Source organism: Homo sapiens, chromosome 8 (genome assembly GCF_000001405.40).
Source record: "Homo sapiens chromosome 8, GRCh38.p14 Primary Assembly".
Classification (NCBI taxonomy): domain Eukaryota; kingdom Metazoa; phylum Chordata; class Mammalia; order Primates; family Hominidae; genus Homo; species Homo sapiens.
The window spans coordinates 74,038,687-74,054,352 of NC_000008.11; the positions used below are offsets into that span (position 1 = coordinate 74,038,687).

Here is a 15,666-nt window from a genome sequence, read left to right on the forward strand (position 1 = left end):
CAGACTCTCATTCTTTTTTGTGGCTAAATAGTATTCTATTGTGTAAATGTACCATATTTTCTTTATCCATTCATCTGTTGATGGACATTTTTGTCGCTTTCAAATCTTGGCTATTGTGAATAGTGCTGCAATAAACATGGGCATGCAGATATCTTTCTGATATACTGATTTCCTTTCTTCTGGGTAATCCAGTGGGATTGCTGGATTGTACAGTAGCTCTATTTTTAGTTTTTGGAGGAACTTCAAAATTGTTCTCCATAGTGGTTATACTAATTTACATTCATGCCAACTAATTTACATTCACACCAACAGTGTATGAAGGTTCCCTTTTCTCTACATCCTTGCCAGCATTTGTTATTGCCTGACATTTAGATAAAAGCCATTTAACTGGGGTGAGATATCTCATTGTAGTTTTGATTTGCATTTCTCTGATGATCAATGAAGTTGAACACCTTTTCATATGGCCTGTTTAACATCTGTATGTCTTCTTTTGAGAAATGTTTATTAAAGTCTTTTGTTCATTTAAAAATTAAATTATTAGATTTTTTTCCTGTAGAGTTATTTGAGCTCCTTATATATTCTGGTTAGATGGGTAGTTTGCAAATATTTTCTTTCATTCTGTGGGTTGTCTCTTCATTTTGTTGATTGTTTCCTTTGCTGTGCAGATCTTTTTAACTTGATGTGATCCTATGTAGGGTTCAGCCCTAGGGGGGTTAATGGGTGTTCTCCCCGTGTGCGGACATGAGAGATTGTAATAAATAAAGACACAAAACAAAGAGATAAAGAGAAAACAGCTGGGCCCGGGGGACCACTACCATCAAGACGTGGAGACTGGTAGTGGCTCTGAATGGCTGGGCGTGCTGATATTTATTGCATACAAGACAAGCGGGGCAGGGTAAGGAGGGTGGATCTTCTAAGTGATTGATAAGGTGAAGCAAGTCATGTGATCATAGGACAGGGGGCCCTTCCCTTTTAGGTAGCCGAAGCAGAGATAGAAGGCAGCATACGTCAGCGTTTTCTTCTATGCACTTATAAGAAAGATCAAAAACTTTTAAGACTTTCACTATTTCTTCTACCGCTATCTACTGTGAACTTCAAAGAGGAACCAGGAGTACGGGAGGAACATGAAAGTGGACAAGGAGCATGACTATTGAAGCACAGCACCACAGGATGGGGTTTAGGCCTCTGGATGACTGCGGGCAGGCCTGGATAATATCCAGCCTCCCACAAGAAGCTGGTGGAGCAGAGTGTTCCCTGACTCCTCCAAGGAAAGGAGACTCCCTTTTGCAGTCTGCTAAGTAATGGGTGTCTTCCCAGGCACTGGCATTACCGCTTGACCAAGGAGCCCTCAAGCGGCCCTTATGCGGGCGTGACAGAAGGCTCAGCTCTTGCCTTCTAGGTCACTTCTCACAATGTCCCTTCAGTACCCGACCCTATACCCGCCAGTTATTCCTAGGTTATATTAGTAATGCAACGAAGAGTAATATTAAAAGCTAATGATTAATAATGATTATACTAATGATTGATAATGTCCATGATCATCTCTATATCTAATTTGTATTATAACTATTCTTAATCTAACTATTTTCTTTATTATACTGAAACAGTTTGTGCCTTCAGGCTCTTGCCTTGGCACCTAGGTAATCTTTCACCCACAATCCTATTTGTCCATTTTTGGTTTGGTTGCTTGTGCTTGTGGGGTATTACTCAAGAAATCTTTGCCTAGACCAGTGTCCTAGAGAGTTTCTTCAATGTTTTCTTGTAGTAGTTTCATAGTTTGAGGTCTTAGATTTGTCTTTAATCTATTTTGATTTGATTTGTATACATAATGAGAGATAGAGGTCTAGCTTCATTTTTCTGCTTATGGATATCCAGTTTTCCCAGCACCATTTATTAAAGAGACTGTTCTATCCCCATGTATGCTTTTGGTAGCCTTGTCAAAAATCAGTTCAATGTAGATGTATGAATTTATTTCTGGGTTCTCTATTCTTTTCCATTACTCTATGTGTCTGTTTTTTTTTTTTTTTTTTTTTTGAGATGCAATCTCACTCTGTCGCCTGGGCTGGAGTGCAGTGGCACGATCTCAGCTCACTGCAACCTCTACCTCCCGGGTTCAAGCAATTCTCCTGCCTCAGCCTCCCACGTAGCTAGGACTACAGGCACGTGCCACCACACCGGGCTAATTTTTTGTATTTTTAGTACAGATGGGGTTTCACCAAGTTAGCCAGGATGGTCTTGATCTCCTGACCTCGTGATCCACCCACCTTCTTGCAACTTTTCTATAAATTTGAAACTATTATGAATCTGAAATTATTTAAATATTTACTTAAAATTAGTGTTGCGGGAAGTCAGGGACCCCAAACGGAGGGATCAGCTGGAGCCGCGGCAGAGGAACATAAATTGTGAAGATTTCATTTTAATATGGACATATATCAGTTCCCAAATAATACTTTTATAATTTCTTATGCCTGTCTTTATTTCAATCTCTGAACATAAATTGTGAAGATTTCATTTTAATATGGACATTTCTCAGTTCCCCAAATTAATACTTTTATAATTTCTTATGCCTGTCTTTAATCTCTTAATCCTGTTATCATCATAAGCTGAGAATGTACATCACCTCAGGACAACTATTGTGTTAACTGTACAAATTGATTGTAAAACATGTGTGTTTGAACAATATGAAATCAGTGCACCTTGAAAAAGAACAGAATAACCGCAATTTTCAGAGAACAAGGGAAGACAACCATAAGGTCTGACTGCCTGTGGGGTTGGGCAGAATAGAGCCATATTTTTCTTCTTGGAGAGAGCCTATAAGTGGACGTGCAAGTAGGGAAGATATCACTAAATTATTTTCCTAGCAAGGAATATTAATAATTAAGACCATGGGAAAGGAATGCATTCCTTGGGGGAAGTCTATAAACGGCCGCTCTGGGAGTGTCTGTCTTATGCGGTTGAGATGAGGACTGAAATACACACTGATCTCCTGCAGTATCCTCAGGCTTATTAGGGTGGGGAAACCCCCCCCACCACTAGTAAATTTGAGGTCAGACCGGTTCTCTGCTCTTGAACCCTGTTTTCTGTTGTTTAAGATGTTTATCAAGACAATACATACACAGCTGAACATAGACCCTTATCAGTAGTTCTGTTTTGCCTTTTGTCCTGTTTCCTCAGAAGCATGTGATCTTTGTTCTTTTTGCCCTTTGAAGCATGTGATCTTGTGACCTACTCCCTGTTCTTGCACCCCCTCCCCTTTTGAAATCCTTAATAAAACTTGCTGGTTTTGCAGCTCAGGTGGGCATCATGGTCCTCCTGATATGTGATGTCACCCCTGTAGGCCCAGCTGTAAAATTCCTCTCTTTATTCTCTTTCTCTTTATTTCTCAGCCAGCTGACACTTACGGAAAATAGAAAGAACCTACACTGAAATATTGGGGGCAGGTTCCACCATAAATTAGCTAAAAATAAACATTTTTAAGTTAATTAAAAATAACAAAGGCATGCATGCATTACTGTGTACCTTTCTAGTCAAACTAACAGAATTTGAGACTGGGGCTGGGCACAGAGGCTCACGCCTGTAATCCCAGCACTTTGGGTGGCTGACGCAGGTGGATCTCCTGAGGTCAGGAGTTCAAGACTGGCCTGGCCAACATGGTGAAACCCCATCTCTCTAAAAATACAAAAAATTAGTCAGACATGGTGGCAGGTGCCTGTAGTCTCAGCTACTTGGGAGGCTGAGGCAGGAGAATTGCTTGAACCCAGGAGGTGGAGGTTGCAGTGAGCAACCGAGATCGTTCACTCCAGCCTGGGTGACAAAAGCGAAACTCCATCTCAAAAAAAAAAATTTGGGATTGGACTCACTCAAAATTCTGCTTTTTTACACAAGAGCATAACTCTTCCAACACGAGCATAGCACTGAGGTAAGAGGTTATGTTAGGAATGAATGAGTGCTGGAATCTTGTAGAGGCAGTTTCTTAATTTCAGACAAACCAAACAAAACCTGTTTGTACAGAGGTCTAGGTTCTAGTCTTTAGTAGTCCTTAAAAGTTTGTTAAGATTTAGGCTTTAGGATCTGGAGAACTTTTGTTTTGTTACCTTTTTTTTTTTTTCGAGACAGAGTCTTGCTCTCTTGCCAGGCTGGAGTGCAGTGGCGTGAGCTCATCTCACTGCAACCTCCACTTCCCGTGTTCAAGAGATTCTCCTGCCTCAGCCTCCCGAGTAGCTGGGACTACAGGCATGTGCCACCACACCCTGCTAATTTTTTGTATTTTTAGTAGAGACGGGGTTCCCCATGTTGGCCAGGATGGTCTCAATCTCTTGACCTCATGATCCACCCACTTCAGCCTCCCAAAGTGCTGGGATTACAGGCATGAGCCACCATACCTGGCCGGTTTGTTACCTTTTGAAGAAGAAAAGGCCCACAGGAGGGTTGATACAGCAACCACATCCCTGTCATTCACCAACGCTTAATGTCTGGCACATAGAGGTGCCAGTAAATATTGAATGATTAGGATCAGTAACTCAAAATAAGTCTACAGGGCAATACAGGAACAGGGGTAGGGAGGTGTGGGCCAGTGAGATATGCTAGCTGAAGTGATTCTCAGTGAATGAAGAGGTTGTCAATTGGGACTAATTCTGAAGTCCTGTGTGTCACAGATGTGTGAAGATTGTGTTCTTGCTGTCAGAATTCTGTAGGGCTTTATTCAGGGCTTTTGAGAGGTAAGATGCGAGCTTAGACCCAAAAGCAATGAACTGGAATACTCAGCCAGGGACTGCAGTTGGGATAGACCATGCAGCAGTGGTGGGGGCACTGCCATTGCCAGTGGTCTTTTTGCAGGTTGAGGTTGACTGGAATTTGCTCATATTAGTTGCCAAGGAGGTTGACACATGTGTATTTGTCATTTTTTAATTGGCCTTATCTGCTTCAGTTGGCATATCTACTTATTGTTGGATACGTGGATTACATACACTGGTTGAAAATATAAACAATACTATGAAGATCTTAATATAAATTAACTTAAAAAATTAATGATATAAATTAACTCTTTCATCATTTAATTGAGATGATAAAAGTTGATGAATGCCTAATTAATTAAAGGAGGATACTTAGGCCTCTAAAATTAAAAATGAAAGTTTTAGCATTCTAATATTGTTTTATTTTTATCTTTGAGACATGGTCTGGCTGTTACCCAGGCTGAAATGAGATGGTGCCACCATGGCTCACTGCAGCCTCGACCTCACAGGCTCAAGCGATCTTCCCGTCTTAGCCCTCCAAGTAGTTGGGAGGTTGCCCAGGCTGATCTCAAATTCATGGGCTAAAGGGAACCTCCTGCCTCAGCCTTAAAGTGTTGGGATTACAAGCATAAGCCACCAAGCCAGACCAGCGTTGTAAAGTTTAAAGCAATGGCCAGTGCCAGAGCAAACATGAGAAAGGTAAACAACACTTAGTAAGCAAGGTGGAAACATGTATGTTATTTTTTTTTTTGTACATAAAAAAAATTTTCTTTTTCTTTTTTTTTTTAGGGTCTCACTGTTGCCCAGTCTGGAGTGCAGTGGCACAATTATATCTCACTGTAACCTCCAACTCCTAGGCTCAAGCGATTCTTCTGCCTCAGCCTCCTCAGTAGCTGAGTGAGACTACAGGCATGCACCACCATGCACAGCTAATTAAAAAAAAATTTATTTTGTAGAAATGGGGTCTTAATAAGTTTCCCAGGCTGGTCTCAAATTCCTGAGCTCAGGCAATCCTTCTGCCTTGGCCTCTTAAAGCTGGGATTATAGCTGTGAGCCACTGTACCCATCCCAATGTATGTAATATGTTCTTACAGCTTAGCCAGAGGGGCTGTAAAATGTGAGTCAAAAATTAGACAAAATCAAGATGTTGGCAGGGTAAAAAAAAAAATTGGAGCTGATCAGAGCATGGGAAGAGGGCAAAGCAAATGGAGACGGTGGTGAGGGACCTTTGGAAGCTGAGGGGCTCACAGACTCACATTACCTTTTCATTCTTTTCTCCTTCAAAAATTCAAAGATGAACAATTTTTTTTCTCTGAGCAAATTATCCCATTTAAACATTCATGAATTAACCACATTAACCTACTTTCAATGCAAAGAAGAAAAATGGTTTCTGTCTCATACATTTCAGCTGTCTTGTCAGTGGGTTGTCAAGTTGAAGGATTTCTTTTACATTCCCATGAATCCCTTATTCTCTATGAAAGAAACTTTACTTCGAAATGGAAAGTAGGTTTGGGTTCATCTCTGATTTTTGACTCACATTATACAACCTCTGTGGTTAAGCTGTGAGAATGTATAAAATTCCTGTCAGCCATTGCTGGGGCTTCAGAGCATGACTGGGTAGTGCCCAGGTGGGCAGAGCACTGTCTGATAATCTTTGCTCCCTAATAACTGAAATCCAGAATAGATAATATTCTCCATTCATTCAAAATGTCTGTCCTGTGCTTCATGCAGAGGATACAAACAGAAGAACACTTGGTCCCTGTCTTCAGGGCATTCACAGGCTTGTCAGTCTGGGCATTAGAGAGGATAAAAAATGAACCAAGCAATAATCAATGGGAAAAAGCTGTTTCATGCCTTAACATGACATAAATATAAAAACCATACAGGGAACAACAGATGAAAATAAAAACACGAAGGCTACAATAAATGCCAGTGACAAAAACAAAGGCACTGTTCAGTTCTACTTAACAGCAGACAGATTTAGGAATCAAACCCTGACACATTTTAAGGTTCTAGGTCTACTGTTTAAAAAATCCAAAATATGTTATCCAAGTCTGAATACATTAATGAGACACTGTAAAAGCTTTTAGCTGTAAGGTATTATTACTGTGTCAGTCAGAGTCCTTGAAGAAAACAGAAGACACATTTAAACTGGGATTACTTAAGGAGAGTTTAATAAAGGGAATGTTTACAGAGGTGTGGACCAGGTGTAGGAAACCATGAATAGTGCAGTCCCCCAGGGCTAGTAGCAGTGGGGCCCCATTATTGCTCTAAGTCTAAAGGGTCAAGGGTGGGGGAACCAGGAGACAGAGGGGCCTGTCTGACGGAAGCAAAAAGCGAAGACCGCCCCCCTACCTCCTTTATGTAACTAGACCAGCTGGAAGTAACCCTACAGGGAGGGATCGCACTGCTACACCCTCAGATCTCCTGCTGGGCTCCCCATTGCTGGACCCACTGTAACCAGAAGACAAGAGAGCCAGCTGACCTAGTCTATAGTGGTCAGCTTCCCAGAGCACAGAGGACAGTGGAGAAGGGTAGAGAGCATCTGGAGGGATGAATGGAAGATGTCCAGAACTAGGCTGGGCACGGTGGCTCGTGCCTGAAATCCCAGCACTTTCAGAGGTCAAGGCGGGTGGATCACCTGAGGTCAGGAGTTCGAGACAAGGCTGGATAACACAGTGAAACCCCATCTCTACTAAAAATACAAAAATTAGCTGGGTATGGTGGCGTGCACCTGTAGTCCCAGCTACTTGGGAGGCTGAGGCACAAGAATCACTTAAACCCGGGAGGCAGAGGTTGCAGTGAACTGAGATTGTGCCACTGCACTCAGGCCTGGGTGACAGAGTGAGACTCCTTCTCAAAAAAATAAGACACCCAGAATAACTAAGTGACCAAGAATCTGACAGTCAAGTGTTCACAAAGACCTTTGCAACAACTTCGCAGTCAACATTTGACAACTCTTGGAACTGGTAATTTAATGGTTACTGAATGTGGATAGCAAAACCTTAACAGCACACTCACCAAAAATCTTGCTATTTATTAGGAACACATTTTTCAAGTTAGTAAGGCAGTGTAAGTTTAAGAAGAAAATTCTGCATACCAAAAGGTACTCTTCTGTGTTTTTTCAAAACAGAATATAAATATGCCCACCCCCCACGCAAAAAAACCCCGGACAGGATATATGAATATTTTCTGATATTAACAATAAGCAGAAAGCCATCCTGAACTTGTTTTTTGGTGGCATATGATCAATAACAAAGACTGAGAAGGCTATACTAAGAAACAAAGGCTATGCTTAAATAATGCACCCTCTGCTAATTGTGAAGGGTAAACTATGAATTTATCCTCATAATCCTTCACCTTCTCTTCCAGCAATCCCCCTTCTTTTTCCTACATGAATGTTTTTCTAAATTAGAACTTATCTTTTATGGCTTTTTGGGGGAGGTGAACATTTTTCCTGACCCATCCATTCTCATTCTCATTCTTTTTTTTTTTTTTTTGAGACTGAGTCTCGCTCCGTCGCCTAGGCTGGAGTGCAGATGCATGATCTTGGCTCATTGCAACCTCCATTTCCTGGGTTCAAGCCATTATCCTGCCTCAGCCTCCTGAGTAGCTGGGATTACAGGCACACGCCACCACACCCAGGTAATTTTTGTATTTTTAGTTGAGACGGGGTTTCACCATGTTGGCCAGGCTGGTCTCAAGTGATCTGCCCACCTCAGCCTCCCAAAGTGCTGGGATTACAGGCGTGAGCCACAGCGCCCGGCCCTGACCCACTCATTCTACATGGATTTTCTACATAAAAAGATTTGGTCCTGAATTTGTGAAAGAGCCCGTTTTCTGCACTAGAGGGACTATTTCTTCCTTAATATGCTTTCTGGCACAGTAGCACAGACTCCAACATCATCTGACTTCCTTGCACAGCCAAGAAGGTGTGGTGGAGTCTGTTTCTCTCACTGTGCTTCTGTCCCCACAACTTATGGGTAGACGTGGAGGCAGAGGGTTCAGGAGCATTTCTTCACCAGAATCAGGGTACAGGAGGAAGAATATCTTAGCAGATCAAGTTGGCTGTCTACTTTGAAAGTTGTGTAAAGCATCATGCCCAGTAATATAATCCTTGTGCACAAGATACAAGAGAAAAACTATTCTGCTACCCCAGTGCAATGCCAGGGGACTGGTAAATAAGTTATGGCAATGCTGGTAGAACACTCTCTGACCTGGCTTTGCGTCCTGGCTCAGCCACTAATTGTGTGCCTAGAGCCAGAGTTTTCACATCTCTAAAATACAGTTAATAATAATACTTACCACCTCAGGTGGTTGTGAATTTCTTTCTAGACTGCTGTAGTATTATCCAAACCACAATGCTAACCCTAATCCCAACTAGAGCAAAGTATCTGAAACACAAATCTGATAATATCATTACCCTGCTTAAAATATTTTAACCATTTCCCACTGTTTTATTTTATTTTATTTTATTTTATTTTTTAATGAGACAGGGTCTCATTCTGTCTCCCCAGGCTGGAGTGCAGTGGCATAATCACAGCTTACAGCTCACTGCAGCTTTGACTTCCTTGGCTCAAAAAATCCTCCCACCTCAGCCTCCTGAGTGTGTGGGACCACAGGTACACACCGCCACACAGCTAACTTTTCTTTTGGGTGAGGGTCTGCCTATGTTGCTCAGGCTGGTCTTGAACTCCTTGGGCTCAAGTCCCCCTGGTTTTAGAATGAAGACTCACATCTCTGATATGGCCTTCAAGTCCTCAAAGCCTGGCATCAGCTCCCACCATTATTTTAATACATTCTTACTCTAGGCTCTAAGCCACAGTGGTCTTCGTTTAGTTCTATTTTTTTTTTTTTTTGAGACAGAGTTTTGCTCTTGTCGCCTAGGCGGGAGTACAGTGGTGCAATCTTGGCTCACTGCAACCTCCACCTCCCAGGTTCAAGCAATTTTCCTGCCTCAGCCTTCTGAGTAGCTGGGATTACAGGCATCTGCCACCATGCCCAGGTAATTTTTTTAAATCCGGGTGGGCCTAAGCAGGCCAGGACTTATCTGGAGGCTCCGATGTTGGGAACCCAGGGCCCTTCTGCCTTGTTGGGCTCCCTAGCATGCTTTGGGAGAATGCTCTGCCACATCCACATTCCAGCCAGTGGAAGGAAGGAAGAGAAAAGGGAGGAAACAGCTGCTGCTTATAAGAGCATGACTCAGGAATTGCACTCATTACTTTTACTCACCTTTTACTGATCAGAACTTGGTCACGTGCTCGCTTCAGTAGCACATATGCTAAAATTGGAACCATACAGAGAAACTTAGCTACAGCCCCAGCGCAACGGTGACATGCAAATTTGTGATGTGGTCCATATGAAGGAAGGAAGGAAGGAGAAAAAGAAAAAAAGAGAGAGAGAGAAAGAAAGAAAGAAAGAAGAAAAGGAGAAAGAAAGAAAAGGAGAAAGAAAAGGAGAAAGAAAGAATGAAAGAAAAAAAATGAACGAATGAATGAACTTGGTTATGTGGCTACACTCAGCCGTAAGGGAGGCTCAGAAAAGTAGCCTTTATTTTGGCTGCCTTGTGCGTAGCTGTGTACCTGGAGCTCTGTTATTGTAGATAGAGTGAGTGGATATGAGGACACCTAGTGGTCCCTGGAGCAGAACGCCCAGCTTAGATTAATTAGTGTGATTATTGATTAATAGCTATCTACCCCACTAGACTGTATCTCCACAAGAGCAGGAACCGTATGTGTTTTTGCCCACCATTGTATCCTTACCATCTATCCTGTGCCTGGTACACAGTAGGATCTTAATAAATATTTGTTGAATACACGAGTGAATGGATCAGGTCCCTCCCTCTTGCTATCCCTGTCATGCTTGACACTCCAGCCAGACCATACCACTCGTGATTGCCTAGCAATGTATTCATTATCAATTAAAAAGAAATCACTGCTAATCCGATAAACAAACATAGTCATCTCATTGTTGCTTACATTTCTTTGGTGAGTTTTCAGGTGATACACATTTTCACGTCTTTATTTATACTTCTCATTTTGAGATTTGACATAATAGCATGTCAATTTTGATAACATCACCTGAGGTACATGAAGAGGTTGATGCGGCTGATTTCAGTCAAAAAATAAGGGCGAAAGGAAATAAGTGCAAAAAGAAAAAAGCAAACAAACAAAAAAGGCCAAGTTAGGCAGCACACCCAGGGACTTGCTTGCTGAGGAGTGAAATAGATACTTGAATTAGGGCATTCACGCAATTCTACATGAGTGCTGTTTCTCAAACCTCAGCCTTCCATGAGAGTTGGGAAGCAAAGAGTTAAATGTTATAATCTCTGTTTAGAATCTAGCAGGATGGTATTTTAAGTTGCTAATTAATGGAATATCCATGAGTTGTAGCTGTCAATAGAGATTAATATTGTATTGATCAATTAATAAGTTTAATTTAGACTTGGTGGAGCCCGGCATCGTGGTGTGCATCTGTAGTCCCAGCTACTCTGCTGGCTGAGGCAGGAGGGTGGCTTGAGCCCAGGAATTTGAGACTGCAGTGAGCTGTAATTGCACCACTGAACTCCAGCCTGGGCAACAGAGCAGGACTCCATTTTTTAAATAAATAAATAAATAAATACATGCAATTAAATAAAGTATGACCGGGCATGGTGGTTCACACCTGTAATGCCAGCACTTTGGGAAGCTGAGGCACATGGATCACCTGAGGTCAGGAGCTGGAGACCAGCCTGGCCAACATGGTGAAACCCCATCTCTACTAAAAATACAAAAATTAGGTGGGCCTGGTGATGGGCACCTGTAATCCCGGCTACTCAGGAGGCTGAGGCACGAGAATTACTTGAACAGGAGAGGCAGAGGTTGCAGTGAGCTGAGATAGCACCACTGTACTTCAGCCTGGGTAACAGAGCGAGACTCTATCTCGATTAAAAAAAAAGTTAAAATAAATTTAGTATGAATTAAAATATTTAAAAAAAAGACTTGGTGTGAATGCTGGCCACCTCACCCATAACACATACCCACCCGCCCACTCCACCATCCGTCACCAGGTACAGATGTTTTGCTTATCATTATCATATTGCAATAATAAGAATATAAAATAATATATTTAATATGGACACTCTTAATGAAGCCATATGAAAAATGGAAATAGTATGTGAAAGTGGTGAGCTTTCAATTTTATTATTGTTATTTTAACATTTCTTAACGTTGTTTTCATATTGTTGCTAATTAAATGAAATTATAGCACTATTACCATCACCAAAACATAATTACCACCACCAATCCTGTTAGCAATGCTCTTTTAAACGTTATCTAAGACTCAGCTGGGCACGGGGGCTCATGCCTGTAATCCCAGGACTTTGGGAGGCCGAGGCAGGTGGATCACGAGGTCAGGAGTTTGAGACCAGCCTGGACCAACGTGGTGAAATTCCGTCTCTACTAAAAATACAAAAATTAGCCAGGCGTGGTGGCACGCACCTGTAATCCCAGCTACTCAGGAGGCTGAGGCAGGAGAATCGCTTGAACCCAGGAGGTGGAGGTTGCAGTGAGCTGAGATCGTGCCACCGCACTCCAGCCTGAGCGACAGAGTGAGACTCTGTCTCAAAAAAATAAAAATTATCTAAGACCCATAAGATACTATTAGTAATAGAGGAAAGAAGATGGGGTTGTTCTAAACATAAGCACGAATGTGGCCAATGGGCAGAAGACACATTCTCCTGTATAAGATTCATTTATAATTCTCAGAGCCAAGAGAGGAAGCAGTAATTCAAAGCAAGGGAAGTGAAGAGCTTGTTTCCTTAGTGTTCATGAGCCGGCCTGATCTGGATATAACTGCTAATGAGAACAACATGCTTTCAGGCAAAAAGTACACACCAGGCTTTGGTGTGCAGATAACCAAGGATTAGTGCTTGAGAATTCATTTGTTTTGCTCTTGGTGTAACTTGGGCATGAGATAAAAGACTGAGAGTAGCTTCTTAAATTGTCCAGTGACTGCTCAGAAATGCTTTTGACTGTAGGTAGGTTCTCCAATCCATATATACTTCTTAGTAATTATCTTAGTAATTCATGCTTCTCTCTCATGATGCTGAAATTTTTAGCAGGTACCATGGACTGAATGTACCCCCAAATTCATTTGTGTGGCTTCCCCAAAATTCCTGTGTTGCAATCCTAATCCCCACTGTATGGTATTAGGTGGCGGGGTCTTGGGGGAGGTAATGAAGTCGTGAGGGTGGAGCCTTTATGAATGGGATTAGTGCCTAATAAAAGAGACCTCAGAGAGTGCCCTTCCCTCTCCAACACGTGAGGACATAGTGAAAAGTTGGCTGTCTGTGAACGAGGTAGTCGGCCTTCAACAGACACCGAATTTGCTGGTGCCTTGATCTTGGATTTCCTAGCTCCAGAATTGGGAGAAATAAATGTTTGTTGCTTGAGCCGCCCAGTCTATGGTATCCTATTATAGCAGTTCATACATACTAAGACAGTGGGGTTCAATTTTACTCCCTAATTCAAATTATTGAATTTTCAAGTTCAACTCCTGTGTGAGTAAAATTTATTCCTATACATGTTTAGTGCAGCTGTGTAAGTAAAATTTATTCCTACAGATGTTTAGTGCAGCTGAAGGTGTAAAACAAGAAAAAAGAAAGGAAAAATAAAAGAAAAAGAAAAATACTTGGCAATATTGTTGGGGAGAGAAGAGGTTATTTTGGAGAAGGGAAGGAGGTTTTTGTGGATGGAAGGTTTTTGCCAGTAGAAGGGGACTGTGTATGTCACCACGTGCCATGAGTGTGCATGCGGGAGGCCCACAGGGGCTGGTGGGAGTGCTAGACAACAGGGGCTAAGAAAAGAAAGTAGAAGTGTGACATAACTTCCTCCGTCACAGTTTCAGTTAGGGTGCCAGGCAACCCTGTGTGCACACAGATACTTGGAAGAAGGGCTGTAACCTTTAGCTTCCCCCAGTTTAGCCCGTTGGCCTTGTCTAGGCTGGTCTGTTTCTGACTCTTCTTTTCCTCATCTAATATAGACCTACTTTTCTTTTATTGGAAGTAGGAAGAGGAAAAATAGACAAAGGAAGAGAAAAATACTAGATTAAGGCTCAGATATTGTAGGCATGAGACCTGGAAACTGGAGACTCCTTTTGGGACAGAGTTGTAGCAGCAAGCCCAACTATAGAAGAAGGGAACTGGGGCCTGTTGGTGGCATGGTGACCAGAGATTTTGGTGTTGGTAAGCTGGTGGCAGGAGCTCCACATGCTTCTAGAAATGCACCTAGGAAGTAAGGTATATGTGAGTGATGGGAACTTGATTCAGGGGATGATGCTTAATTCCAGCACATCAATTGCATACATTAGAAGGACTACAAATTCAGATCTAAGGGGACCAGATAGAGTAGGATGGATACTAGCTGGATAGTAAGGAGGGGTATGATTGTGGTGAATAGAAGAACACACGCAGAGTTTACATTTACCATGTGGGAATATTGAACCAATGCTGTCAGATCTTCTGATTTTTGAAAAGAAGGGGTAAATTAGATTTTTATGTGAAAATTTAATCAGAAAATGTTGGCAATTGATTTTAAAAGTTTAACAGCACCATGTGGGACATTATTGTACCTGCCAAGCAACCCTTGCACATCCCACGGCCCCTGAAACTCCACATGTCAAAAATGGAACTCCATCTGTAGTCCCTATTTCAGCAAGTGGTGCCACAGACTGCCAGGAACCCAAGCTAGGAAGGTGGGCATGAGCCCTGACTCCTCCTCTACTCCACTCCTTACTTTTGATACATGACTTCGCCATGTGGATTTAGCCTCCTGAAATCTCTGTCTCTTATATTTGTCCCCTTTTTTTAATTCCTACTCTCAATGTCTTTTAGATTTTCACAATTTCTTTGCTGATCTAACCCATATCTCAGTCACTTCTCACCCATTTCTAATCCTTTAGTGACCTGTCTAAAATAAAAATTGAAGCAAGTCATTGCATTGAAGCCCTGCCTTCTAAATTCCCATCTTCCCCTACTCCCTGTAGAATAAAATCAGTGTGATCTAGCATGTTTAGCTCCATATACTGACTTCTGCCTGCAACTTCAGCCTCATTCCTTGCAGTGCCTTCCTCCTTGTCTGTGCTTCAGATACTGAATCATCCACAGCTCCTCTAGGGGTCATGCTATTTCATTACTCTCTATCTTTACTCTCATTGCTCTTCTTACCTAGAATGAATACCCTTTCCTTTCTGTATTAGGATGTGTTCAGTTGTAAGTAACACAAACTCCAACTCAAATGGATTTAAGTAATGCTATGATTTGAATGTGTCTGCCAAATTTCATGTGTTGGAAACTTAATCTCAGAATTCATAGTTTGATTGGAGGTAAGCCTTTTGGGAGGAGTATAGAATTAAATAAGGATGTCAGGGTAAGACCCCCATGGTGAGACTGGTGGCTTTATAAGAGGAAGAGAAATCTGATTTGACTTGCATGGACTTTCCCTCTTGCCATGTGATGTCTTCCGCCATTTTATAATGCAGCAAGAAGGCCCTCACCAGATGCTGGTGCTGTGCTTTTGGACTTCAGAATTGTGACTTTGGACTCTCCAGAATTGTTAGCTAAATAAACTTCTTATTTATTTATTTATTTAGACAGGGTCTTGTTCTGTCATCCAGGCTAGAGTACAGTGCTGTGAACAGGGCTCTCTGCAGCCTCAACATTCTGGGCTCAAGTGATTCTCCCATCTCAGGCTCCTGAGTAGCTGGGCCACAGGTGTGTGTCACCATGCCCAACTATTTACAAGATTTTTTGTAGAAATGGGGTCTCACCACATTGGTCAGGTTAGTCTCAAACTCCTGGGCTCAAGCAGTCCTCCCACCTTAAGCCTTCCAAAGTACTGAGATTACAGGCATGAGCAACCGTGCTTGGCCAACTTCTTTTTAAATAAATTACCCA

General features: G+C 42.1%; 1 protein-coding gene and 1 pseudogene across 2 annotated transcripts in view, besides 2 other annotated features; both read left to right on the forward strand.

The window, feature by feature from the left end:
* Positions 1 to 15,666, forward strand: part of LY96 (lymphocyte antigen 96) — a 108,466-nt gene that overhangs the window by 47,295 nt on the left and 45,505 nt on the right. The window lies entirely within an intron of this gene.
* Positions 9,761 to 9,900: an enhancer, noted in NCBI's record as "active region_27540". NCBI's record gives its function as "activates an Ori minimal core promoter by ATAC-STARR-seq in GM12878 lymphoblastoid cells {active_cell/tissue: GM12878}" and the evidence as "EXISTENCE:reporter gene assay evidence [ECO:0000049][PMID:35858748]".
* Positions 9,991 to 10,098, forward strand: RNU6-1300P (RNA, U6 small nuclear 1300, pseudogene; annotated as a pseudogene).
* Positions 14,833 to 14,882: a silencer, noted in NCBI's record as "silent region_19298". NCBI's record gives its function as "represses an Ori minimal core promoter by ATAC-STARR-seq in GM12878 lymphoblastoid cells {active_cell/tissue: GM12878}" and the evidence as "EXISTENCE:reporter gene assay evidence [ECO:0000049][PMID:35858748]".